At 46.3% G+C, this 27,904-nt stretch overlaps 1 protein-coding gene across 3 annotated transcripts in view, besides 1 other annotated feature; it reads left to right on the plus strand.

Moving 5' to 3' along the window:
* The window catches only part of GALNT2 (polypeptide N-acetylgalactosaminyltransferase 2), a 224,334-nt gene that overhangs the window by 87,453 nt on the left and 108,977 nt on the right, over nt 1-27,904 (plus strand). The gene's annotated exons all lie outside the window — the stretch shown is intronic.
* Nucleotides 4,981-5,210: an enhancer, noted in NCBI's record as "active region_2716". NCBI's record gives its function as "activates an Ori minimal core promoter by ATAC-STARR-seq in GM12878 lymphoblastoid cells {active_cell/tissue: GM12878}" and the evidence as "EXISTENCE:reporter gene assay evidence [ECO:0000049][PMID:35858748]".

The following is a 27,904-nucleotide window of genomic DNA, read 5'->3' on the forward strand; positions in this document are numbered from 1 at the left end:
AGTGCAGACTGGCCGAATCTGAATTTCTCAGTGAGCGTCTCAGAAATCTGCACTGTCAGCTCCCCTGACCCCTAAGTTTGTGGGGTTTCCTGGCCAGGCCTCAGACTCTGGCAGTCGGGCCTGGGCCTTCTGAGGGGGTTTGTCCTGGAAATCCTGTCTTCCCCCAAGGGAAGCTCCCCCAAAGGAACCCTTTTAGGTGTCTGGTGTTTGAAGCCAGTCCCCCATTTCCCTCTGTTTTTGTTGTTATCACATACTGTAGGGATGGTTGTAATAAATACAGACTTTTAGAGAATGCAGCCAACTTGGTGGTTCTCTGGGGATTCCTCCGCTGAGGTCGGGGCTTAGACATTTACACGGTTTTCTTTTGCCTTTTGAGATTCTTATCCACAGCTAGTTGGTTGAAAGCCACCCACCTTGGCATAGTGCCAATGGGGGCCTTGCCCCGTGTGGTGCCTGATGCAGCACAGCAGGACGTCAGGCAAGCCCAGACGTCAGGCAGGCCCAGAACGTCACCTGTCTTCTTGGTGGCAGTGGTTCCATCTGGACTTGGAAATACCATGTTTGAAACAAGGTCCCTGTAATTACTTAATTGTAAAGAAATGAGAGGTAGCATTTCGGCTTGCTTGCCTGCCTGCCCAGCCCCTCTGGGAAGTGTGCCTTTCAAAGATGCTCGCCGCTTGCATTTTTATTATCCTGTGATTAAGAGAGAAGACGTTGGTCCACTCCTTGTCCAGGCTGCTTTGGGCTGTAGTGGACCTGCTTCTGGTGTTCCTTGAGGTTCTGCTTTCTTGTGAGGGTTCTTTTTTCTCTCTGCTTCTTATTAATCTGTAGCTGCTTATGTTTTTTGGCTTGGCTAAAAATAAGCACTTTTCCTTCTTCCTCCTGGGTTAGGAGTGAAAAAGACAGTCTTTGTATTTCTGCTGTTTGGAGTTGGATGTGAGAAATTGATAAGCTAAAAGACTGTAGTTATTTTTCCCCTCCCTTTTCATGTATCTCGTTAGGGAGCCCTGGAGGAGGAAGCTTTGGGAGGAGTCCCGCGCCTTCTCTCCCGCACCAGGTCTGAGAACTTGTTCGCAGCTATTCATGTCTTATGTGTGCCTGGTCACCCCTCTTCCTCTTTCAGTTTTGTTTTTTTGTTAATAGCTAAATCACATTTCTGGTTATTTCCTTAATATGGACAGTATTTTCATTTCCTCTGGAGGTGTTGATCGGAGGCCACTGCCTGCCTCCCTTCCTGACCCGGTTGGAGTGAAGCAGGTGTGGGCTCAGAAAAGCCTGCTTGGGAAGCACTCCTGTGTTCATTTACAACTCAGCCACCTTATACCAACCATACACTGCACACTCAGTATTAGATGAGAAAGGAGCAAACTCGGCTCTCAGGGAGCTGGGGCATTTAGGAAAAGGAAACAAATTAGTATAGTAAGATGCATTAATGAAACGGCATTGGGACTAACCTGGAGGGATGGCCCAGGTTGCAGGGGGAGGGGTGGGAAGGAGAGAGGGCATAGGGTGGGTGTCGTGCATGTAAGTGAAATGGCATGCCAGGGGCTGCACGCACCTCAGAGCGGCCCCACGTGTTGGCGGGGAGGCGTTATGCTGGAAACGTGACCTGTGAGGAGGTTAGGTAAGAACCACGCAGGGTCCTGTATGCTGCAGTCCAGAGCTGGCTACCGCCTGCACTGTCAGATCTCGGTGTCTGTCCCGCTGGCCGCACTGTGTGGGAGTCGTGGCAGGGGACAGACAGGAGGCAGGTGGGCCACTAGAGCCCAGGTGAGAAGGGAAGCAGGCCTTCAGCTGTGGCAGGGTGAATTGGGAAGGAGGGGCCAGAGTTAGAGAAACAGGAGGCAGTGTCTGCATATCTGGCCAGCTGGTGAGATGTTGGGGATGAGGGGTGGGCAGTGCCAAGCTGGGGGAGATTTCAGACCATGATTCTCAAAAGAATGCTCTCTGATTTGACAGCATCCTCAATTTGGAGGAATTACCTTTGTGTTCCTTCCAAGATGTTGTCCCTGGACTGATGAACTGAAACCCTTTCCTCTGGCATTTTCTAGTTTCCAAGATCGACCGTGAATTATAAAGACTTCATTTTATTCAACATTCATTGTGTTCAAACCTTCTAGCTGAAAGCCGCCTACTTTGGGGTTAAGGTGTGGGTTTGCCTATATTCACTTTGCTGTCCTTGACTCTTGGCCAACATTCCTAGAGCCCCTGCCACGGGACTGCTGTGGGCTGAGACTGGTGTCGCCTCTCCCTTGAAAGCATGGCCTGCTCTGCCGTGTGCCTGGCTTGGCCACTGGTTCTCCTTTCCTGGTCCCGCGGGGGCTTTTCTTTTCTTCTCTGTTGTAAAATAATCTCAGGCCAGGGCCACTCCTGGCCTACTCTTCGATTCTGCGAACAGTGGCTGGCTAGTGGTGTGGCCACATTCCCCTGCAGTGGTTGAGGCTAAACAGTCACTGTTGAGAGAAGCTGCCTTCCTCCTCCAAGAGTCCCTCCTTCCTGCCCTGTTGCCCTCTTCCCGTTGAAGGAGAGCTTCTGTCTCCTGAGTGAGGGCCTCAGCTCTGCCTGTGGGTCACCTCTGGCTCCCAGCCTGGAAGGCATTGCAGGCTTCATGAAGAGAGCTCGTCTTTAGCTGCTATTTCTAAGCATGATTGCTTGTTGGAGGTTGGCAGTGGTAGATGCTCCTAGCACACGTCCACACCTTCAGGGCAAACGCTCTGTCCCCAGACACTGTCCCTGTTTAGTTAGTTTCCTAAACTATGATCACTCAGCAACCTCGAGGATAGTCACTGTATTATTACATACAGGTGCAGCCCTCTTACATACCTGTGTGTGTGTCCAGCCCCACTGGACACATGCCTCCCACTTGCCCACACTCTTCCCCATCCCGCTTTAAAGCTTCAAATCTGAAAAGACAGTGGCGCTGCGTGGCTGAGAGCCACGAGGTGGACTTTAGGTGAAGGGCTGCCCACCGGCACAACCAGATCAGTGGCCAGCTCGGGGCGTGCACAGTGCACTCAGAGGGAGAGCCCTGTGGCACTGCGTTATTTTCCTCCTAGAGCTGAAGCCAGAAACCTGATAGGGAAAGGGGGCGTTTTCAGGGCTGGAGTAGTTCAGCACAGTCCCTTCCTCACTGTGGACTCCTTTTCTAAATCTGCAAGTCACAGGTAACCTGGGTGCATCCAACAGGTCCCACAGCCCTGGAAAGCCCTCGTTTAACACAAGTGCTCTCTGTCCTTGCTGCAGAGGCGGCTCCACGCCTTGCTTCTAGCGGTCCCTCACTCGCCTTCCGGAGTTAACTCCAGGGTGTGGGTCAGCCTTTTCAAGGGGTTTTGTTTTCTTTTTTTTTCTTTCTTTCTATTTTTGTTTTTGAGACAAGGTTTGTTGCCCAGGCTGGAGTGCAGTGGTGTGATCACAGCTCACTGCAGCCTTGATGTCCCTGGGCTCAGGTGATCCTCCCACCTCAGCCTTCCGAGTAGCTGGGACTACAGGTGTGCACCACTATGCCCAGCTAATTTTTGTATTTTTAGTAGAGACAGGGTTTCGCTCTATTGCCCAGGCTGGTCTCAAACTCCTGGGCCCAAGAGATCCACCCACCTCACCCTCCCAAAGTGTTGGGATTACAGGCATAAGCCACCATACCCAGCCCCACTCCTCCCCACCTTTTTTTTAAACAGGGCCTCGCCCTGTCACCCAGGCTGGAGTGATCACAGCTCATTGCAGCCTTGACCTCCTGGGCTCAAATGATTCTCCTGCCTCAGCCATCTGACTAGCTGGGACCACAGGCACGTACCACCACGCCCAGCTAATTTTTGCATTTTTTGTAGAGACGGCGTTTCTCCATATTGCCCAGGCTGGTCTCGAACTCCTGGGCTCAGGCAGTCCACCTGCCTCAGCCTCCCAAAGTGCTGAGATTACAGGCGTGAGCCACTGAGCCTAGCCTACTTGTTTAATTCTTGATTGCTTGATTTCAGAAGGTGCTGCTTCTGCTTTTATGGCTCCTGAAGTCATTTTATGGTCTTGACCTTGTCTCTCCTGGAGCGGGTGGGAGGACATTGCGAGGCCACCTAGATTGGACTTGTGTGGTTGAGCACTGGGTTCAGGAACATCCCTGGAGGGTGGGTGATGGTTGCTGCCTGCTTGCTGTTTTATAGGGTGTTTCTCTTACAGGCTGCCAATAGCTTGGTGGTTTGAGCATCCTATTATTGCAGTGATTCTTAGGTCTGGCGTTGAGGGCAGCAAGATTTCTGCCTAAACATAGTCCTTCTCTGTAGTAGTGATTCTAGGATGAGCCACTGTAGACAGGGGCATGTATTGAGTGCAACAAGCGGTTGAGGGACCTTAGATTTTGAGGGTTTTTAAAAACCGCCTGATTGGTTTGTGTGCGTCCTGCCACAGTGTTACCTAGGTGGGCTTAATGAGGTGGGAGTGGGCTTTTTGTTTTGTTGTTTTATGCCTCAGCCATGTAAATATAAACAGATACATTGAATCATTCAATGTCCAGAGTGGGAAATTACAGCCAAGCCCTCCTCACTTTTAGAATAGCATGGCGTGAATAACTGCAAAACCTCCCTCTGGTCTTTCCTGCCTCTTTAAGAGTTCTGTCTCCAGAGACTGGCAGAGCCGTCTCTGGGCAGATTTGCCGAATTGTTTCAGCAGGGCTTCTCCGGTGGCCATCAGATCAATTGATCTTGACACATGGGGTGCCTCTGAGGGCTTCTCACTCTTGATTTAATTCTCAGAAACGCTTCTCAACACCGTTGGTGTCTTTCTTAATTATACCATAATAGAGGTTGACAGCCACACAGTATGATGGACCCCAGGGTGAGGATGGCTGGGTGGGCTTGTGGGGCTGCTGAGGCAGAGACCTAGGAGGGTGCTCTCCATTCCTGGATGCGGAGCCCATGAGTGGCTTAAAAGACATGCACTGGCTCCGCCCTGGGGCCAGGAGAGCCATCGCCTGCTTGGTGACTGCAAAGCTGCCTACCTCCGTGTGCTGCCGTTTTTCTGTACCGAAGCTTCCCTCTTTACCTCACCATAGGAAGCCTGAGATGTAACACTCAGAAGAGGCTTGACAGGCTTGGAATCAAAGGCATGACTTCATACATCACCCAAGGTGTCATATTTCTTCTCAGAAACTTATATTTGGATAAAACAAAAATCCTTTTTCAACCTTTGAAACGGTTTCCAACAGCTGCTTTAAAAAGACATAGTACAACAACTCCTTCCACTTCCTCTTTCTGCCCGCTTTGTTTTTGTCCGCAACCTTTGCAGAGAAGTGAATGTCTCTGTTAGAGTTGGAGTTGGAAATTGGGGAGGGATGTGTGACTTGATTCTGAAAGGAAAGTCTCATCTCTTTGGTAGAGCATTTTTGTTTTGTTTGTTTGTTTTTAGACCTTAAGCTCTACTTATAATTCTGTCTAAGACACCTTTGTGGAGCAGTTGGAGTGCCTGGCTCCTCATTAGAGAATGCGCTGCGACATTCAGCCTCTCCTTGGCCTTCTAGGATGGCGGGAGGCACAGACACACACTCCTTTTCCCACCCAGGGATTTGGCGTTCAGAATGGGGGCTTTGACTGCTTGGCCCTGACTGTGCAGTTTTCTGGATGGAAGCCTGCTGTCTTCTGAGCACAAAGGAATCCATCGTTTTCTTTGCTTCCCTAAGGAATCTATTTTCCCAGTGGCAGAGCAACTTAGAGAATTCCCAGCCAGGGCCACCATTCTCAACTCCTCAGGACGAGGCTGGTGCACCCGGCATGCAGGTGTCTGTAACTTTGTGTGACTTGTTGAACTCTTTCCTATTTAAGGTGCACTACCTGGGTTGCCTGGAGCACAATATTCTTCCTCTTGTGGAAATATGTTCAGGATCTTGTGTGGTGTCCTGGGTTTGATTTTATAGCTTTGCCAACATAATGATTACAGTTGACGATCACCGTGGCCACCGTTGTCTTTTCCCTCCATTCCCCTGCAGCTTTCTGGACCTCCGGGATGTCCTCCTGGAGGGAAGGCCCCTGGAGAAGTGTCCCAGTAGAACGCACTGTTGTGTCACTTGCTCTGACCACCGTTGACATCGCAGCACAGCGCTGCACACCCGTGACAGGGTGATGGTAGAAGATGAGGGTCGGATTGTCCACGTAGTGCCTCCAGGAAGCTCAGGATGATGGCCAAGCCAGATATGTAAGGTGGCTTTGGGGCACAGGATGATGCCCTCGAAGTAATGCATGGTCTAGTTGTTTTGTAAACAGTGCTGTTTCCTGAAGAAGCAATGATTTTCTGACTACCCGGCCTCCCCAAGATAGCCCTGGGAGGAGAATTTCTGATTCTCTCTACAGCAGTGCCTTCTTCTGTAGGATCTCCCCACATGTCCCTGTGCCCACCACGTAAGCTAAGGAAGGAAAGCAGAGCTCCTCAGTTCATTGATGGCTTCAACTACAGATGAACCAGTGTTACAGGAAAGGGGTCCCGATCCAGACCCCAAGAGAGGGTTCTTGGATCTCGCTCAAGAAAGAATTCAGAGCAAGTCCGTAGTGCAAAGTGAAAAGTTTATTACAAAAGTAAAGGAATAAAAGAATGGCTGTTCCATAGACAGAGCAGCCTCGAGAGCTGCTGGTCGCCCATTTCTATGGCTATTTCTTGATGATATGCTAAACAAGGGGTGGATTATTCATGCCTCTCCTTTTTAGACCATATAGGGTAACTTCCTGACATTGCCATGGCATTTGTGAATTATCATGGTGCTGGTGGAAGTGTAGCAGTGAGGACGACCAGAGGTCATTCCTGTGGCCATCTTGGTTTTGGTGGGTTTTGGCCGGCTCCTTTACTGTAGCCTGTCTTATCAGCAAGGTCTTTATGACCTTATTTTGTGCCGATCTCCTATCTCATCCTGTGACTTAGAATGCCTTAACTGTCTGGGAATGCAGCCCAGTAGGTTTTAGCCTCATTTTACCCAACTCCTATTCAAGATGGAGTTGCTTTGGCTCACATGCCTCTGACAAAAGTAAAGCTCTCAGGGGGCTCAGGCTGATGGGTTCCCTTTTACTTCTTTGAATCCCCAGTCGGGCTTGGAACCATGGCCTGTAAGCGCATCCGACACTTGGCTAGAATCTCGAACCTGACTCTTTCAAAGATGAGGGCAAGGTTTTTCAAATTGTAAGTTGTGACTCAGTAGATCATGAAACTAATAGAGGAGAATAACATCAGTATTCATGATGAATAATTAAATAGAAAATACTGGAGCACATCATACATGTAAGAGTAGGTACCCTTTTATGACACCGTATGTGGATGGATGGGCGTGCATGTATTTATATAACGTATATATTTAAATACATGGTTTGGGGGATGGATGTCTACATCAAATTTATTTGTTACTATGGGTTTTGGCAAAAAAGTTTGAAAGCTGCTAGGATAGTGCATAGCCAGGAGGGAAATAAGAAGAAGCTATGAGAGAACTAGATAATCCTTCTCCTACACAGACTCGTGTTTTGTGTGAGTGGGACACTCCTCAGCCTGCGTCCACTCTCAGGTAGCTTCCTCTTTGAACCGCTTGTCATTGTGAGGCAGTGACCATCTGCGCCAGCCCTGTCCTTGGCTCTAACGTGATGTTCATTTGCTCACCTTTCTTGGACTTCCTTTGCTTCCTCAGGCTTTAGCTTCTTGCCCTGCTGCCTGTATCTATGGCCTTCTCTCTGGCTGTGGTTTAGGGAAAATCACTCCATCTTTCTGTGCCTTCAGTGTGTTTGTCCACTGTGAGTGAAGCATAATCAATACTTGGTGACTTGGCTAAACTGCGTTCAGTCCTTCTGAATACTTATTTACATTTTATTTATTATTTTTATTTTTAGAGATGAGGTCTTACCGTGTTGTCCAGGCTGGAGTGCAGTGGCGTGATCATGGCTCACTGTAATCTCAAACTCTTGTGCTCAAGCGATCTTCTTATCTCAGTCTGTGGAGTAGCTGAGACTATAGGCCTGAGCCACTGCCCCTGGCCTGAATACATTTAAATGAGATAAAATTAAATGAGAGAATGAAAATGAATAGGCCCATTGCCATGCCTGAGACAAACTCAGATGTCTGCTAATGATCGGTTCTTTTCTCCTTACATGCGGGAGTGTTTCTGTAGTCAGACTGGACACCTACACACTTAAACAGTCATTGATGGGGGGTCAGCCTTCAACATTTTAAGGGTCTCTTTGCGTTTTTAGTTTTATTTTTAATCACAGTAAGCACATTTTCATGTATTAGAGAAAAAGAAAAAACACCCATAATGCTTTCTGTGTAGAAGCAAGCATTACAGTGGCCTTGGTGGTGTTTTTTGAAAGGGCTGGGGAATTAATTCATCGAGAACATCTGAGGACGCCTTCCAGATTCACCAATCATCAGGCCCCTAAGTACCCTTCCAGCCCCACGCCCCTGAGTTCTTTTCATGATTCCAACCCAGAGGTCTCAGTTGTGAAAAGTTTCTTTTGTCAGACACAGTGAGCTCAGTCTGTCTGGCCGAGGCCACTCCGCTCTTGGAGATGGATTACAGCCTTTGTTCCCACTCCTGGGCCTCCTGGCGTGGCCTCGGGGGCCCCTGGTTGGTGGCACTCACCATTCACTCTGTGGAGGGGTCTGGTGGAACTGATATGTTCATAAAAGCTACTGGTAAAAACAAAACAACAACAAAAAAGCTACTGGTGCCCAGTGCCTCTTACAAACTCTCATGCAGATTTATCGTGTGGGTCTGTCTGCGTGGGTGTCTACCTTATAAAGACTCAGAAATGGTTTCTCTTTTCACCCATTGTTTGGAGAATAATAAGTCTCTGTCAGATTAGCTTCTTGGGGCCTCAGTGCTTTTTGAAAAGAGCTTGCATAATCAGTGTCTGGTGAGCTGTGAGGCCAAGAGCATATTGCCATTGTGCAACGGGGATGTGGATTTTGTACATTTTCAATATTTCACCATTCAGTCTTGTCAGAAGTCAAGCTGCCGTCCACCCTGCACTTGCAGTGGAGACATAGGCCCTTCGTCCACAGTGGATAAGTTTTTCTCCACGTGGGCCACATTCTTACTAGAAAAGAAACCCCGGCCCTTTAGCTCATCACCCTCTGCTCTGGCTTTCCCCGAGTTGGTACAGAGCTGATGCCGTTGGTATTTTTAAGAAATAATCTTGAGTCAGAAGGAATGTGCCAAACCGGCACAGGTGAGAGATCTCTGGACCCCCTTATATTTGCCTATTCTGCCCCTTCTGAGAAATTTCTGGGAGAGAAGGTAGTATTATGGGACAATGAAGCCCTAACCCCCAGGACCTCAGAATGTCACTTTATTTGGAGATAAGATCTTTATAGATATAATCAAATTAAAATGTGGTCGTCAGCATGGGCTCTAGTATGACTGGTGTCCTTATGAAATGGGGGATTCAGACAGAGCCAGACACACGTGGAGGGAAGACAGTGACAAGAGAATAGACAACAGGCACCACCTCTAAGCCAAGGAGAGAGGCCTGGAACAGCATCTTCCCCCATGGCCCTCGGAAGGAACAAACCCTGTCGCCCCTTGAGCGCAGACTTCCAGAACTGTGAGAAAGTGTGTTTCTGTTCCTGAAGCCTCCCAGTTTGTAGTACTTTATTATGGCAGCCCTGGCATACTTACTCAGGTAGTCTCTGTCAGGTTATTTATAACTCACCTTATCACATTGGTAACTTGTGGTTTTATCATTTGGCATGACATCCAAGGCCCCTTGCAGTTCTAATATTTACGTACTAGCACTTAAAAAGACTTTCTCTGACCACAGGGTCTTTGCTGGATGGGGTCTTGGTCTGGGGCTGGGGCTTTGGTTTCCAAACATCAGGGTCCTCCCAGATGAGGCTGCCCCGCGCCGCATGCACCCCCCACCCCGTTTCCGCGTGCAGTTTTCTGCGGAAGTATTTCCCAGGTCCTCGGTTTCCCTTCTGTGTGAGAGCGTCACTTTCTCTCACATCTGTGGAGCGGAAGTCCTGAGGCAGTCACCGTTTGGGGCCTGCATGGGGTTGTGAGAGCCCTTGTGCTGGCTCCTGCCCGCCCTGTTCTTCGTTGGCTGCCTAGGGCTCCCTGCAGGTTTTCGCTCGGAGGTGGGCCCTGCCTGCAGCCGCTGACCTCCGGGAGAGACCGGCCTCTCCCTAATTATAGCTCATCTCTTAATCCCGGTCATCATTTCAGCTGGCTGTCCTTGAACTGAAAATTGGAATACAATTCAACCTGTAGCTGTTTTAAAAACTGCCTTATTCAGAGAGGGTCAAGATAAAGAAATTTTAGCTTCTTTCAGGATCTTCCAAAACAGATCAGGAATGACTGAATCAGGACAGGGTCTCCTCCTTTGGGGCTGGGAGGGACAGGGCAGGACTCTCCCAGGACAGTCCCATGGGCAGAGCTAGGTTTTGTGAGGACTGGAGCTTTTGTCATTTGAAGACCATTTCTAAGAGAAAGAGTGATTATAACCCCAAAACTGGGCTCCCAAGTGCATAGCACAAAGGACCCCACAGAAGATCACAAATGGCCCATCCTGACTGGAAGAGAGAGATTAGATTGAGGGCCAGGTCGTGAGGGCACTCTGAGGGTCGCTAAGACATTCGGCGTCAACCTCCAGTTCACTCAGGAGTTCTGAGTGGAGGACAAAAGCCTTGCTTTAAAAGGACTAATTCTGTAGTGATTTTGCCACATGGAGAGGGGAGGGAACTATTGTGTCAGATCAGGAAAACCATGGGATCAGTGCTAAGGGCCTGTGTGGTGGGCTCTGTCTGGGTGGGAGAGACTGTGTCCTGGTCATGGGGCTCAGTCTGTGGGTGGGTGATAGAAGAGTAAAGCTTTTGTGTTTTTAGGGTGGGGAAGAGAAGAGAGAGTCATTGATTTTAGATACAAGTGGAATACCACGTAGACCTGGCCTCTGGGTGGTGATGACCTTCTGGGGTTGATGTCTGGAGACGGTGCGGTTTTGGGATGGGGGAGCAGACGAGGGAGAGAGAGAGAGAGAGAGAGAAAGAGAGAGAGAGTGTGTGTGTGTGTGTGTGTGTGTTTTACAGCAAAGACCTGGATCCTGAATCTTGGGGAGAAAACTCCTTGCATTGTACATATTGGGCTGGTTACATGGCTGAAGTTCACCGTGTCATTTTAGGCCTGTTTCTGGCTTCCACACTGGTTTGCAATGTCATCCTAGGGAAGTCAGCTTGTCCTTGGTAGGATATATTCATTGGTGAGTTCACTCAAGAGACTCCTTTTTGCGTTTCTTTACCTTCAACGTTCGTTTCCTAAAATTGATTATTCCTTCATAAAGTTGCCAGCATTTTCAACATGCTTCCTAGATGCTGGATATTTTATTATCGTTTGTCACGGATCAATTTATTTTTTTGGCCCTTAAACTATCACATTTTCTGCAGTTAAATTTGCTTAACTTTCTAATGCAGGGGCAGAATGTAACCTGCAGGTTGTGGCTTTAGAAAGCAATGTGGAACTCGGGGCCATGGTAAGCAAGTTGGTGGTGGTTTTTTTTAATAGCACATCTCATCCTTTGATGTCAGAACACTGTCTACACACTCTGATTCATTTCAGTCAGTCCCTAAAATGTGAAGATGAAATGTTGGGGAGACAGATCCTCTGGCCTGAGGAAGCTAGCCGTCTTGTTTGGGAGATAAGAAACATCAACTGTTTTGAAAATACTTTGGTTCTATCATTAGAGAGCTGATCAAGTGCAGTAAGAGGCAAGGTCAGACTGGGCTGTATTATGTTTTGATTTGGAGAAACTATCACGAAAGAGGTAACATTGAGTCAGAGCCTGAGAGAATTGTGGAGAATCCCTGCAGGAGTAAATAAGACCATCCCAGGAGGGCTCTCATTTAAGGCCTCGTGTACTGTGGTCATTTGACCTTGGTTCAGATGCCACTTCAGTTTAGATGCATTTAAAAGCAGAGAAAACATTGGAACTTACTGTGTAGTATTGAGTGAGCATTAATTGAGATGTGTGTGAACCATTGAGCATGATACCTGGCGTGTCGTAAGCACCATTATAGCAAACTTATAGAAAGCTGCATTATGTCACTATACACCTAGGGGAGTGGCTTTGGGGGGAAAAAAAGCAAAAATGCCACCAAGTACTGGCAAGGACATAGAGCAGCTGGAACTCTTATCCCTTGCCAGTGGGAATGCAAAATGGTACAACCACTTTGGAAAATAGTTGAGCAGTTTCTTATAAAGCTAAACACATGTTCTCATACAACGCAGTAATCCCACCCTTAGATATTATCCAAGGGAAATGGAAATTTATGTGCTCTTGGGATTCATAATGGCATTATTCATATTTGCCAAAACTGGAAACTACGTAACTGTCCCACGACTGGGGAATGGATGAACAAGCTGTGGTTTGCGTACATGGTGGAATGCAGCATGTGGCGGGATACCTCCTGCAGTGGAAAGGAGACAAGCACGGTTCACACAATGTGGATGGATCTCTGTACATTATGTGCATTAAGAAGCCAGGTCCAAAGGCTACATACTGTATACTTCTATTCATATGACATTCTGGAAAAGGCAAAACTACAGAGAAAGCAGATCAAGGATTGCCAGGGGCTGGAGAAGAGAGTTAACTACAAATGTACTCAGGGGAGTTTTGGAGGATGGTGGCACTGTTCTATATCTTGATTGTGGTGGTGGTTGCATGACTATATGCAGATGTCAAAGCTCCCAGATCTGGATACTAAGAAGAGTGAATTTTACTGTATGTAAATTATACTTTTAATTTAAAAGCAGAGAAAAAAAATCATAAGCCAAGTCAGGGAAGTGAGAAGGATCTTGTTGTATGTGGAGAACCGTCATGGAACAGGCCAGAACTGAGCACAGATCAGGTTGAATGGGTAGGATGAACTGTGACTCCAGAGGCATTGAAAGGGAAATGTTTGCATGGGGCGTGGTGGAACACAGAGAGCCCTCGGGAGGCCCGGGTAGCAGGGGGGCAGGATGAAGGGGGCATTTCGTGTTGTGTGAGGGATGAGTAGCGTGGGGAGATGAGGCCAGAGGTTCCAGCCAGGAACTAGTGCAGTTCTCTAGTCTGTAGATAAGGCCTGAACACAGCAGTTGGTTGTAGGATTCTGGAGAGACTGGAGCTTAGACCTGATTACATTATATATGCACTGTCTTTTCTCAGAGATGGGGAAACTAAGGCATGAAAACATTAACTTTTATTTTGGAAAAAAGCTAAACATAGAAGTAAGAGGGAGGCCTCCTGAGGCACTTTGCCAAACTTTATGCACAGCAACTATGACCTGCAAAATCTTTTTAGCCTGGGCTCCCTCTCTTGACCTGAGACTCTTCCAGGGAGCCTGGTATCCACAAGAGTGGAAGCAGCTGGTCAGGGCCACGGAACTGGAGATGCCCCATGGGACAGAAGGCCTGGGGCTCTGGCAAAGTGTCTTGTAAGTGTTCCTGTCATTTCCCTCCACGTAAACCAAGTCAGGCTTGCAAATCAGCAGCCTTTCAGGTCCTTTCTCTCCTTCTGGAAGCTCTTGCATGTTGCAACCCCCTACCCACCCCGCCACCTCCCATCACAGATAAAGATTTTGTACCATCAGCCTGCAAGTGAGTTGGATGAATGCCATCTGAAAGGCTTTGTTCGTTTGCACACGAGGTCGTGAATAGCTGGCAACAAAGAGGATTGAACCTTGGACCTAGTGTGTCTGAGCAGTGCCCCAGCCCCCATGCCGCTTTGGATTTCAGTGGCCTCTGCAGCAATTTATTATTCTTACATCAGATGTTTGAAGTAGGTGAAGGGGCAGGTGGCATGTGTCTGGTGAGGTTGCTGACACTGCTTTTGGATGAGAGAGAGAGTAGTGGTTGAAACAGAGCATTCAAAAAAGCGTACACTTTAACCTGTAATCCGCAAACATTCCTTTGAGTTTACCCAGCCGTGGGAAAGGACGCTGTACCCCTGCCCTATTGGCTGCACCCTTTGCTGTTGATGTGAGGCTTTATTTACCTGGGAATTGACAGGGTTTTGGTCCATGATTGCTCCTTTCTCCGCAATCACATTTAATGCCCATGATATCTCATCTTTGCACACGAAGGCAAAGCCTTCTACTGCTTTTTCTCTTAAAGTGTTCAGCACTCCCCTGAGTTTATTAGAAGGATCAGAAGAAAGAGACCCTGAGTGTGAGGCTAGGTCAACCGGAGAAATTCACCCAATTATTTCGTTTCTTTGTTTGGATCCCTGCTTTTCATTTCTACCTATTCTGAAAGAGAGGCTTAAAACTAAAGTCCGGTTAGTTGAGGATCAGATGTGTCATACTTTTCTCAGAGGGGAGGGGACGGTCACTTTGCTCTAAGTTTGGGCCATGAGGTCCACACTGAGCCTACATGGGGTAGGGGGAAACCGTGAAGTGTGCAGTGACCTGAGGGTGCCAGATCACCCCGAGCCGTTGTGGTTCCCACTGGGCAGGCTGTACGTGGTGAAGGTGATAGACTGCATGTCTCATGCAGGCCAAGTGCCTGTCGGTCAGCTTGAGGGAGAAGATACCTTGTCTACCTCCCCCCACCTGCAGGCTGGCTGGCTTTGGGTGCAATGACCCTCCTCTTCCTTGAATCGCTGTTTCATTGTGGACCTGTTGGAAGTGCCAGCTTGGCTGGCCTTTGGCTGGATCCCTGTTTGCTAGAGCTTTGTTCCTACTCTGGAGGAGTCAGCTGCTGTGCCTTCTGGGACTGCCAAGAGTTGCCAAGGGGAGTGGGGAGTCCTCTCTGTGGGGTGTCGTCTGAATCCAGCAGCCGCACCACCCAGGTGCTTCCCTCCTCCCCACTCCTAGGCCAATGTCCTTAGTTTCTGCTCACTGATCAGACGATTATCCTTCTCCAGGATGACCACCATCATCTCATAGTCCTTCCTCACTCCCTTCCATGAAGTGCTTCTCCAACCCATTGTCTCTGTCATAGTGAAATGATTCTACTGTTAGTATCAAGATTTTCCACTAGTGCTAATAACAATCCCTGATGTTATCAAACATGTAGGATGGGCCAGGCATTGTACCAGGTGTCTACAGAAATCCTTTGTGCTGACTGTTGACCACTATCCCCATTCTGTAGGCGAGAGTGAGCCTTAGGAAGGGCGTTGGACGTGGCCAGGATCACACACCATGCCTTGCACTCACCTCTGATCTCTGAGGGCCAGGGCCTCCCTGTATACAATGATCTCTGCATCTCTTCTTCCTAGCAGAAGACTCAAAAGAACTTTCAGATGTGGGAGGCCAAGGCAGGTGGATCACCTGAGGTCAGGAGTTTGAGACCACCCTGGCCAACATGGTGAAACCCCGTCTCTACTAAAAATATAAAAAAATTAGCCGGTCGTGGTAGTGGGCGCCTGTAATCCCAGCTACTCAGGAAGCTGAGGCAGGAGAATTGCTTAAACCCAGGAGATGGAGGTTGCGGTGAGCCAACATGGTCCCACTGCACTCCAGCCTGGGTGACTGAGTGAGACTCCATCTAAAAAAAAAAACACGAAACTTTCAGATGAATAAGTTGGTTCTATCAGAGATGGCTCTTAAAGCTCAAAAGCTGTTTTAAAAAGCCCTGTGGATGCGCAGGCTCTCTTAGACCCTTTTTCTGTGTTACAGAAGGGGATATAATACCCCAAATAGGGTTTTTTTTGGTACAAACTGTGGATAGTACTAGATTTTGCTCCATACAGAGTCCTGTTGACTGAACTGCCCTTTCATGTTGTGTCTCCAGTGTTTTTATGGGCAACAGCCATATACAGTCTACTTCCTATCTATTGTGAAGTTGTTGTTGAGGATTTCCTGTATTATTTCACTCTGCATTCATGTCTCAGTTACCTTTGATCCCTAGCAAACTGTCCCAAGTGGAATGGCCTAACCCAGGAATGATGTATTATTTCTTACAGTCCTGTGACTGTCTGGGCGGTCCTTTTGCTAACTTCCCCAGGGCTCACGTGTGCCTTGTGGTCAAGTGATAGCAGCGTTGGCTGGCTGGTCCAAGGTGGCCTCACGTGTCCTATAGTATTTGCTAGCTATTGTCTGGGGCTCCTCAACTCTCCACATGCCCCAGTAGCATAGACCAGCTTCCTTACACCATGGTGGTCTCAGGGCAGCATTCTAAGAGGGCATGTCCAATGTGCAGGTGTGTATTAAGCCCCTCCTTGCCTCGTGGTTGCTGGCATCCAATTGGCCAAAGCAAATCACATGGCCTAGTCCAGAGGCCGACTCCAGCTGTCTGTGCAGACGTGGCAAAGAAATATGGCCACTTCCAATCCACTGCAGTCCAGTCCCCAAAATCCATTCTTTTCATGGCACATTTTGGAATCTAGCAGCTGAATTTCAGTCTCTCTTAAGATACTCATGACTTTATTTGGATGGTGAGCATATGGTTGGTTGGAGCACAGGCTTCAAAGTCCAGCCTGAATTGAGATTCTGACTTGCTCTCTGACCATTGTGCCTTTGGCGGGTGACTCACATCCATTTCTTCATCTGTGAAATGGATATGATGATACTTGCCTTCCTGAGATTGTTGTGAAGTTAATTGAGACTATACATGAAGTCTCTGGGCCATAACTGATCTCATTACACCTTAATTCTTGTTTCTATTACTTATTTTACTTCTGTCTCTGGGAAGTTCAGAGTTTAAAAATTCAACTTGACCACAGCATCTTTACTTGGTCATTTCTGCAACCACCATGTTCCATTTCTTTTGTGTTTCTATTTAGATCTTTTGTTTTAAGCTACCCAATCCTTTTTGGAATAATATGGGGTATTATTAAAGTAAGACTAACCAGCAAAATTCTGTAAAAATTAAAAAAAAAATCTTGGCGCTTCCAGTTCATTGGTTTTGCTGGTAAGATTCAGGATTATAGTACTGTTGAACAAGCTTGTATAGACGTGAATGAGTTTCCACATTCTTATAGATTTGACTCAAGTGATCTTTGCAGATTTTCACAAGCACTGAAGACTAACCAGCCTTCCTTTAAGTCTCCCAGCACTTAATTCATCTGGTCCAACACATGCCGGGTTCTTCAGGGTGTTAGGATGAAGCTCCTGTATCTGATCACCTACCATATTCCACACATTTTCCATACACTCTTTCTCATCCTCTGAGAATTTAGCATTCCGGGTGATGCTACTAAGATGGATGAATAATTTATAAAGTTTTAGAATTCTAAATATAGTTCTTTCTAGTTTCCCTTAGGGTTCAGAAAACAATATCCCAAAATGAAGGCCTCAGAAGCAAAAGTTTTTCACTTTCTCCTGCCCTCCAGCTGCCAGTCTCCTTCTCCCCAAGGCTGCCCTTAGAAGCTAGATTCCCTCCATAGAAGCTAGAATCCCTCTTCCCTAAAACAGGTCCTAGGAACCAGAACTTGCTTTCCCCAAAGCCAGCCATCAACCCTGAAAATGCAGCTCTAACTTTCCCTCTGCCTTGCTATGTAAATACTGTTTATAAAAACAGTATGTGACTTAACTGTTTGACTGTAGGTCATAAGACCCACCCCTCCACTCCATTCCAGAGAGGGTCTTGCCCCAACCCAGAATGAAGGAATGCTGCTCAGAGAGGCTGAGAAGAATCTAGATGGACAGGCCTTGCTGGGCTTCCCCACTCGGTCTGTTGGCATTGGAACCTACCATTTTTGTCCAGTCACATTTCCACATGACTGTCCATACTGTGTTGAACTTAAGCATGAGAATGGACAATTTCCCCTGTAACTTTGGGTCTTCATTCTGATGGCTCCTGTGTGTACACATTAAATCAATGTGTATGCCTTTTCTCTAATTAATCTGACTTTTTCGAGTTGAGTTTTCAGTGAACCTTCAGAGGGTGATGGGGAAAGTTCTCCTTGACCCCTGCATTTCTAAGTCAGTGGACACGTGAATCTTTGGCTTACAGAAAGATAAGAATCAGCTAAACATGTTCTTTGAAACTCCGCATTAAAACAACAACAACAACAACAACAACAAACTTTTGTCAAAGGAATTGTTAAATCCCCCAACCTTCATGTGCAGTGAGGTGAGATCCAGGCCCCACTTGGAACAAGTTCCATGGAGTGCGCACATCTTGTGGGCCACTGGCCACTCCTGAATTCCATGGACTCCGTGGGGCTGAGGTGCAGTGGAAAGATGAGCAGTGACTGTTCCCAGTGCTGTTGCTCATCAGAGAGCATGGGATGAGGTCACTCCGGCGATCTCTCATGCTTTAGCGTTTCCAGCTGTATGAGGGAGGTGTGGTGTAACTTCTCAGGCGGTTGTGTGGCTCTGGGCTCAGTTTTTGTTGAGAGCCTTCTGTGTGTCAGACACTGCTAGCATCATCATGTATGTCCTTTTATTTAATTCCTCCACATCACAGTGGATAGAAAACATGGTTCCTATTGCTACGAGCTCCAGAGCAGGAATTTGAATTTGCCTTCGAAGCCCGAGCTGCTCACAGCAGCTCACTGTCTTTTCAGCTTTCCCATCAGGATCAAATGAGACGAAGTGTGTGGAAAGGAGAAGCAACCTTTAAAAGTAGATCTTGGTAAAATTACTGTTTTCTGAAGTTGGACCAGGGAAGCTAAGAGGAAAGAGGGACAGTCCCCACTGACTGTCTTGGCTGCTGTGGGCCAGGCCTGTGCCAGTCACTTGGTGTCAGTGAGCTTATTGGATTTAGCTTTCCCAACCACATGGACACGGGGTCAGTCTGTCTGTCCCAGAACTGGCCGGGGGTGGTGGATGGAGCCTGGACTCTGGGCCAGTCACAGCCTGATGTGACACTGGATACACTGCCTGTTAGCTGTGTGCTCTTGACTTTGTTTTTTTTGGGAGGGTCTCAGTTTTGTCATCTTTTTTTTAATAAAAGGGGTATTAAATACCATACCTCAAAGATACTGTGAAGAACACATACGTAACTGCAATCGCACACGTGTAGCTCCTCTACAATGCCTGGCACTTGGAAAATCCCTGGTAAATGCCAGTTCTGTGAGGGTGGCATCACTGTTGCTGTTATTTCCATGTTCTGGGTTGGGGGCAGAAGGGCCGTCGGGCCCATGGGGAAGTACCCAGTAGAGGCCGGTGCTTTGCTTTCTCTCCTTGTGTGTGTGATTGCCCGTACATGCACTGTCAGCACCCGAGTTCCCTGTACACATTTACTGCTAACAGCGGTGATAAGCGCACAAGATCACTTTGGTGTTTGACCCGTTTCTTGGAGAAAGCAAAGATTCAGTAGGGAAAGTGATGTACATAGAGGAGATGAGCCTCTCAGCAGGCTTGGCGGACTGCATCCGATCATGTGATCTCTTTCTTGCCCAGGACAGCACGGTCTCTGGGCCCTTTTTCTTTTTTTTTTTTTTAGACGGAGTCACTCTGTCGCCCAGGCTGGAGTCCAGTGGTGCGATCTCGGCTCACTGTAACCTCTGCCTCCCAGGTTCAAGCGATTCTTCTCCCTCAGCCTCCTGAGTAGCTGGGACTACAGGCGCCCGCCACCACGCCTGGCTAATTTTTTGTAGTTTTAGTAGAGAGGTTTCACCATGCTAGCCAGGATGGTCTCGATCTCCTGACCTTGTGATCCACCTGCCTAGGCCTACCAAAGTGCTGGGATTACAGGTGTGAGCCAGCACGCCTGGCCTCTCAGCCCTCTTTCTAATTCCAAGGGAGAAGGGAGGCTACCTGAGATTCTACAGTAGTGCCTGGACCCCAAACCTTAAAAGCAGAGGTCAGCTCACACCTGTTTCTAGAAACAGCTTTTGTGTCCCCTGCCCCATAGGTTCCTGTAGTGGCTTTGGGCAGCATTTGGAACCACTGGCCAGATAAGATCCCTTAATGATGTGAAATACTGCATAAGGTCGAAGTTCCAACTTTAACATATCTGGGCTAAATTTTTAAAACTATTCAACAATTCATGAAGATAATTAAAGAACATGTGAAAGTCTGAGAAGGAGAGCCAACACTCATCATTCTCCACTCTTAACACAATCATTTTTATTCCAGTGCCTTTCATTCCAGGCTAATCCATATGGATACAGATTTTTATATAGTTGTTTCATTGTGTACATAAAACTTTGTCTCCTGCTTTTTCATTTAACGTAAGCATTTTGCATGTGGCTCTGTGATCTTTATAATTTTAATGGGCGCATAGTATTCTTTGAAGGGGCTGTTAACAGAAATTAACGTTGTATTGGTGAATGTTCTAAGTTTCTTCTGTTTTTTCTCTTATAAATAATGCTGCAGTATTTGTGCATAAGATTTATTCCTTATTTTAGGTTAGTTCACTGGGATAAATTTACAGAAGTGAGATTTCTTGGCTTAAAGATTTTCAGTCGCTTTCTAGTTCTTGATGTTGGATGCCAAGCCAAGTTGCTTTCCGATAAGGTTTAATTTACACTGTGTCCTTTTGCTTTTAAAATAAGGTAGTGAGACATCTGCAGCCTGGTTGTGATGCCAAGTATTGAGATAGTATGGAGAATGTCCCAGCTGTTGAAGGCAGAGAATGGACTTACAAATAAGTGGCGCCAGAGGTAGGGGATCTCACAGCTTGTCCCTGGGTGGCACTGGTCAACCTGTCCCAGGGCAGCACTCGAGAGGGAGGGAGGCCCTCGGAGTAGCCAGAGCCCCTGGAGAGGGCTGATAGATGCCCCACAGGGCTGGAGGTTTCTGTATGGAGTCCTGCTGTAGGTCACTCATATTAGGCATGATGTGAATGTGCTCCACTCAGCTACTGTGATCTGATTGAAATAACCTTTTAAGAAAAGAGCTTGCAACTGTGGAAAGACCACTGTTTTGGATCAGGTTGACATGGAGTCTGGGCTTTGATGGGACTGTATGAACCGCCTTAACCCCTGTGTTTACCTGTCTTTAAAGTGGTCTAATAAGCCATGACAGTGTCCTCTGCACAAATCCTTTGTGAAAGAACAATTTGTAATTAATAAAAAAAAAAGACCTTTTGAAAAAAATAGATTAAGACAATCCTTATAGGGTTTTGGGGTAATAGTCACACAGCTAATAGCTGCTGAACCTTGAGCAAAGAAAATGTTAATGAGAAAATGTACATTTTAAATGAATAAAAAGAAACATACAGTCCCTATGTATTTCTTGTTTGTTAGGAACTTTTTCAGGCACTCCTCCCCGCAGCGTCACTCATGAGTTTCTTTTTCTTGGGTGCAGATAGCACACATTTTGCATGGTGTGCCTCACACGGTGTTTCTCATCTCTAGCTACTTTCACCATCTTTCTAAATATCCCACGTGGGTCATATCATTTTACCAACTTTGAAAGGATTTGTCAGGCCTTTTTCAAATGCCTGCTTTATCAGTCCTGAGGCTGCACAGCCTTGGCCTTGCCATGGAGAGATGGCAGCAGGACAGTGGACTCCGGGGATTCAGTGAGCACGCGGACATGTCTTGTCTCTGCCTTCTTGCTGTGACCAGTGGGTGTGATGTGCTGGTCTCTGCCATCTGCTGTCTCCCAGGGCAGCTTGGGAAAGCCTCTCCTTTCCCCCAACTTCCTTGCTTTCTTCCCTTTTCCCAAAATCCAGATCTAATTCTAATGGTACCCAAAGAGAAGTCAACTGAAGTTTGAGGTTTCTCCCTTTGAAGATAAGGGGTAATTGCTGTACAGAGAACCTCAGAATGGGGGAGAATTGCTGTAGTGGGGGAGTCATGAGGAGTAAAAGAGAGAACATGCTAGTGCTAGGCCTGGGGTGGATGTTGAATAAACATTAGTCCCTCTCACTCACACTTGGGTTGGCTGTACCTGGGCTGTACTGCCAAGAATTTCCAACTCTGTAATGATTTGTGATGAGATAAGTCAGGGGAGAAGCTTAATTACAAATTTTCCATTTCGTTTGTAACCCTCAGCCCTCTTGGGGCTCTTTGCATATCATTCTGAGACTCTTTTTTTTTTTTCTTGGAGATGCTCTTCAAAACAGAGTCAAGTGTTTTATTTTTTTGGTGGTGGGGGGTGACAGAGGGTCTCTTACTCTGTTGCCCAGGCTGGAGTGCGATGATGCGATCCTGGCTCACTGCAGCCTCAAACTCCTGGGCTCAGGTGATTCTCCTGCCTCAGCCTCCCAAGTAGCTGGGACTACAGCTGTGCATCCCCACACCTGGCTAATTTTTAAAATTTTTTGTAGAAGCAGGGTCTCACCACGTTGCCCAGGCTGGTCTTGAGCTCCTGGGCTCAAGTTGTCCTCCCACCTTGGCCTCCCAAAGTGCTAGGATTACAGTCGTGAGCCACCACTCCCAGCATGGAGCCAGTTCTGACTCAGTGGTTACAGAGCAGGCCTAGGAAGGAACCAGTTGTATGGAAGTTAGGCCCTCATGGGAAGGATTTAACCAGGTGGTCATGGGAGATGGTGGCACCTACTGGTGACAAGGAGCATTGCACTTTAGTTCTGTGAGACCTGCTTGTGGGCTGAGGTGAAGTGGGGAGGAAAGCAGCCTTGCGGGGATATTGACATGGAGGTCAGGGAACTGCCGAGCGTGGAGGAGCGCCGTGGTGATGGGAGGAAGGGGCGGTGGAGCAGCACGGGTGTGAAATGTGCAGGGCTGCAGCCTGGCCGGCTGACGAGGCTGCCTCCTGCTGGCCTCCCTGCGGCTGCTCCACTGTGGCCCTTGGGCCCCGCTCATCACCAAGTGCTGCCTGAGGGCTTCACCTCTCTCCTCCCACCTTTTTTTCTTACCTATTGGCAATGATTATTTTTAAATTTTTAAAATGCAATTGATTTTTACATAAATCACATGGGAAATAATTTTCTAAAATACCCCCCCCTTTTTTTTGTAAAGAGACATTTTCTAGTCCAGTGTGCAGAAATTCTTCATTTTTCTAAAGTAAAAGAACCTGCTTCAGCTGTGGTTGGGAAACCCAGAACAAGAAGTGAGCTGCAGTTGAGAGAGGGCTTTGTGTGCCACCCCCTGACTGGGGAGGCGGTGGACTCGGAGCAAGTGTTAGAAAATGGAGCCATAAAAGACTCCTTAAAGTGTCGGGCGCTCAGCTAACTTAGGGCTAGAATTATATATCATCTCTTAAAGGACCTGCTGTTCTTGCCTTCAGGAATGGGAAGTTATCACCAGGAGCTAAGAGCTGACCTGCTTCATAAACTCTTACTTAGACCTAGGAATGAGGAAAAGCTGCATGCGAGTGGCATCCCTTGTGCTCGCTTTCTCTGGGCTAAAACGTTTAGGATGGTCTGGCAGCTCTTGAAGAGAGGATGGTGGCGTGGAATAGATTCCTCTGAGGCCTTGCCCCTCCTGTCCCCGGAGCTGAGCTGATTATTCTCATTGGAAGATTGGCTTTCGAGCATTTATCAAGAGATTTGTACCTGAGTTTTCTTGAACGAAGAGGGAGGCAAGAGGGCTTAAAATTTCCATTAAAAATGAACAGGCACCCAGGAAATACATGATTGACGGATGTTGGCCCAGGAGTTTTCAGTGTAGTTGCTTTCCCTTTAGGTAAATAGGATTATGCGCACATTTTTGTAATTTTTTACAATTTTATTTTTTTCTAGAACAGTTTTAGACTTACAGAAACATGGGGAACATTGTGCAGAAAGTTCCTATATATATCATACCAAGTTTCCCTGTTATTAAAATCTTACATCAGTATGATTCATTTATTGTAAAGAACCAGTATTGATATGTTATTAACTAAAGTTCTCTCTTTATTCAGATTTTTTACAACATCCCCTTGTGTTCTTTTTCTGTTTTAATATGTTATCCAGAATACCACATTCCAGTTAGTGATTATGTCTTCTTACTGTGACATTTTTTTAGACTTTCCTTTTTTGTTATGACCTTGACGGTTTTGAGGAGGCTTGGTCAGGGATTTTTTAGAATATTCCTCGTCTGGGGTTTGTTTGATGTTTTTTCTCATGATTAGATGAGAGTTATGGGTTTGGGAGAGGAAGACCACAGAAGTAAAATATGCATAAATTTGTAAACAAGTTGTTGAATGAGTTAATTATGGAGAGAAAGGGAAGTTTAGTACCCCTGAATAGTAACTGGAAGAGGAGTAAAGGCTGGACCCCCAGATTGGAAGAAGGCAAGTTTAATGTTCTTAATGATGGGACTTAATGTCTAACTTGTGTCATGCCTTATAGTTCAAAGGGGATGGGATAGAGTGGTTCTTACATTTTCATGTTATATCTTGGGAAACTGAGGCTCAGAGAAGCAGCCTGAGTTGCCTAAGGTCATAGAGATAGACCAGGATTTACTGGATATGCCAGTGCATTTGCAAACTATTCCTAGTTGCATTTTCTATGCCCAGAGGTTCTAGACTCAACTGGCTGGGTCACCGATGGCCATTTCATCTGTGCGTAGCTATAGGGATTTAAATAGGAGGATTTTTGTTAAATGAAGACAATTGACCGACTGTGCGTGGAATCAATGTGCAGGATGATTCACCAGGCTTTCTGCCTGTTAGAGAAGTTAAATGGTTGAGAATTAATAATTATGCGATTGTAGTTCACGACTTCAGCACAAGTCATTGTTACAGTTCTCAAATGTTGAGCAGCCCCACGTTATTCCCCACCAGTGTGTTTTTCTCTGAGGTTACACAGTAAAATAAGTGAAGTGCTGACCTTTATCATAACATATTTTTTATTTGTGAGCAAGTGGAGTATGTATAAAGCAGTTTGTGACTTTGAATCCAAAATAGAAATTTGCCCTCCTCTCATTTTCGCAGCATTGAGTTTCATAAACTAAGTTGGAGCAGTGAAAGTGAAACTGGAAATGCATGGATGAAGCCAGTGGTTCTGAACACTGAGAACTGCCTGGGAGCTTCTAGAAAAACCCCCAAGGCTGGGTCCCATTCCCTAAAGTTGTAATTATATTGGCCAGGGCAGGAACAGGCCTTGGGAAATCCAAAACTTGGCCTTTCTGTCTTGTTCCTCACTCTGTACTCTACCCAGGTCTTCATTCTTAAACCTTTCATATCTTTTGATTCTTGCCTAAGTAGAGGTTTTGGGAGCTGTTGGGCTGGAGCTTTCAAAGCTTGCAGTAGGCTGATCTTACTTCTCTACCTATATTTTACCTGTTCTCCCTAGGTGATGAAACTAGGAGGGCCCATGGCTACTTCTGCTACATGGGGCACAAAACATGCTTCAGAAATATTTGAGAGACTGAATGAAGCCTGTCTCTGGTCTCTAGGGTATATTACGTTCCCTTTCTATTCTAATGATGAGTAGGAGGAAAGATACCACTCTTTCTTGTAAACCAAACTGTTCTTGCTTTCAATGGGGATTTTTATTAAGAAGCAAAAACTGATCTCTTTTATAAATGCATAGATACCAGTGTTTTACACAGTACAGGCTTCTGGTTTTAAGAGAACTTTTGCCATGGTTCAGAGTGATCTTACTAGCCTAGTATATTGGTTTGTTTTACATTGCTATAAAGGAATACCTGAGACTGGGTAATTTAGAAAGAAAAAAGGTTTATTTGGCTCACGGTTCTGTAGGCTGTACAAGAAACATGGCAACAGAATCTGCTTCTGGTGAGGACTTCAGGAAACTTTTCATCATGGTAGAAGGTGAAGGGGAGCAGGTGTGTCACATGGCAAGAGAGTGAGCAAGAGAGAGAGGGGAGGAGGTGCCAGGTTCTTTTAAACAATCAAATCTGTGTGAACTCTTTCCTTTACCATGGGGAGAGCACAAAGCCATGCATGAGGGATCCACCCCCATGACGCAAACACCCCCACCAGGCCTCACCTCCAACATTGGGGATCACATTTCAACATCAGATTTGGAGGAGACAGCTATCCAGATGAAATCACCTAGTTAACTCTGGTGTTCTTTTTTCAGGACCCTTTCCCAGTGAGTTAAAATTAAATTTGTGAGTTTATTAATAGGTCACACAGCCTATTTGGAAAGTAAGTTTTTTTGCCTTCTTGTGAGAAGACCTGAAGATTATTCCTCTACACTACCCTGGTGGAACGCCAACCTTGAAGAATTAGAAATAAGTCCTTCTGCTTCTCCCATGGGTCACTTTATAGGGAAAATGCTTGATCAGGGGAGGTCTTGGTCTTTAGCGGGAAACTAAGTCTACTCTGTAAAAATTTGCTTTCGAGTGAACAGTATTTTAGTTAGTTTGTAATGTCTTAGCTTTGCAGCTTAGCTTAGTCTTACCTTTTGAGAAATGGGCTGTGAAATATAAATTATTACATCATTTAAAAATTTCTGGCAACCTGTTTTTTTCCCCAAAACTTGAGGGTTGCTGTGTGGATTGGCTGTAGTGGTAATTACTGAAAAGTCATCAAATAACAGTGAAAACTAGACAACTGATTAGAAGGGAATCAAGTAGTCATTCAGATGGTATTTTCGGTAATTTAATCTGCCTCTGACCATATGTTCTAGTCAGCTGAAATAATTTAACAGTGACAACATATATTTCAGCAAGCAGAGATTAAAAACAGCCCATTTATTTTCTGTTTTCTCCCGCAGTAATATTTTTATGTCTCCGTTAACAAATATGATGTTCGCCATTTAAATTATATGGAAGCAGCTTTGGATGATTTAGCAATATACATAACATTTATTCTTTGTTATTATCTAGTTTTATGTATGTAAGCATGTTTATTTTAGTGGTGTTTCATAATTCAAAAATGTTACCAGAGGTGGTAATTGTATTTATATTGGACATGGGTAAGACATCAGCGTGAGATGAAGCCACATTTTTGCTGCTTTTGTGACTCAATTCTTGGGCTTCCAACACCTCACAGCCCCTGCCCCCCACCCCTGTCCCACACAAATGACTGGCTGGGTGCAGCAGTCTCTGCCACTAGCAAGCCTTATGGCATTGATAAATGTAGTGGTTTTAGAATATTCTAAATATTAACCAATTTTTTTTATTATCCTCCTCTCAAAACTGGAGGCTAGTCTCAGCTCCACCAAACCCGATTTCACGTGAGCTGGACATGGTGACATGGTTCATTATTTCTTATGAACAGACTGTGACAGGGCAACAGTGAGTGATTTCCAAGACTAGGCCATAAAAGGCATCACCGTGTTTCCCTTGCTCTTGTATGTGCCCTCTTCCTCATATTCACTGGGGAAGCCAGCCGCCTCTTGGGAGGACACTTAAGCAGCCCTACTGGATGGGCCCCAGTGAGGAACTGGGGCCTCCTGGCCACGTGAGTTACCCATCTTGGAAGCAGACCCCAGCCCTAGGCAAACCTTCAGAGAACAGCAGCCCTGGCCGAAATCTTTGCAGCCCCATTAGAAATCGTGGGCCAGAACCATTCAGATTCCTGACCCTCAGACACTGTGTGAGGTAATAAACATTTATTGTTTTAAGCTACTGAGTTTTGCAGCAGTTGATAAGTCAGGTAGCCCTTCTGGATCCTTTTTGCCAATCCTCTGGGAAACGAATGGTTGGACTGCACAGTGCCCTGCACGCATAGATTCGATCAATAGTGCCTAAGGGGCTTGCTCATCTTCCAGCCACTGTACCTCCTCATCCCCACGGCGCCTTTCCTCCTCCACTCCCCTGACCACTTGCCTTTGGCAACTGAGCCAAGAACACTTCTTATTTTTTTCTTATTTGGATCAGAGACAGATTATACTGGGAATATTCTATTAACAACGAAACCTATATTTACACTTAATTAGTTTCCATAACTATTTAATAAACTCACCTATTGGGTTTACTGCTTCTGAAAATAGTGTCATAGTATTTAGATGTCATTGCTATTTTATGTACTTAGAGATAGGATGAATTTGAGCTGCTGTGCTCTCTGATTATGGCAGGTAAGTAGACGTCGCTCAGCCATGGATTCCCGTCTGATTACACTCATGGCCCTGGTTTAATTCCATTTGTGCCTCTGTTGTGTGCATTTGTAAGAACAATTTGGGAGATACATATTTTGAGGTTTTAGGATACATAATTTTGAACCAGATTAAAATGTCTAATAACAATAATCACTACCATCTGGGGTAAGTTAGTAAGTAGGAGAA

The sequence above is a fragment of the Homo sapiens genome, chromosome 1 (assembly GCF_000001405.40).
Source record: "Homo sapiens chromosome 1, GRCh38.p14 Primary Assembly".
In the NCBI taxonomy this organism is placed as follows: domain Eukaryota; kingdom Metazoa; phylum Chordata; class Mammalia; order Primates; family Hominidae; genus Homo; species Homo sapiens.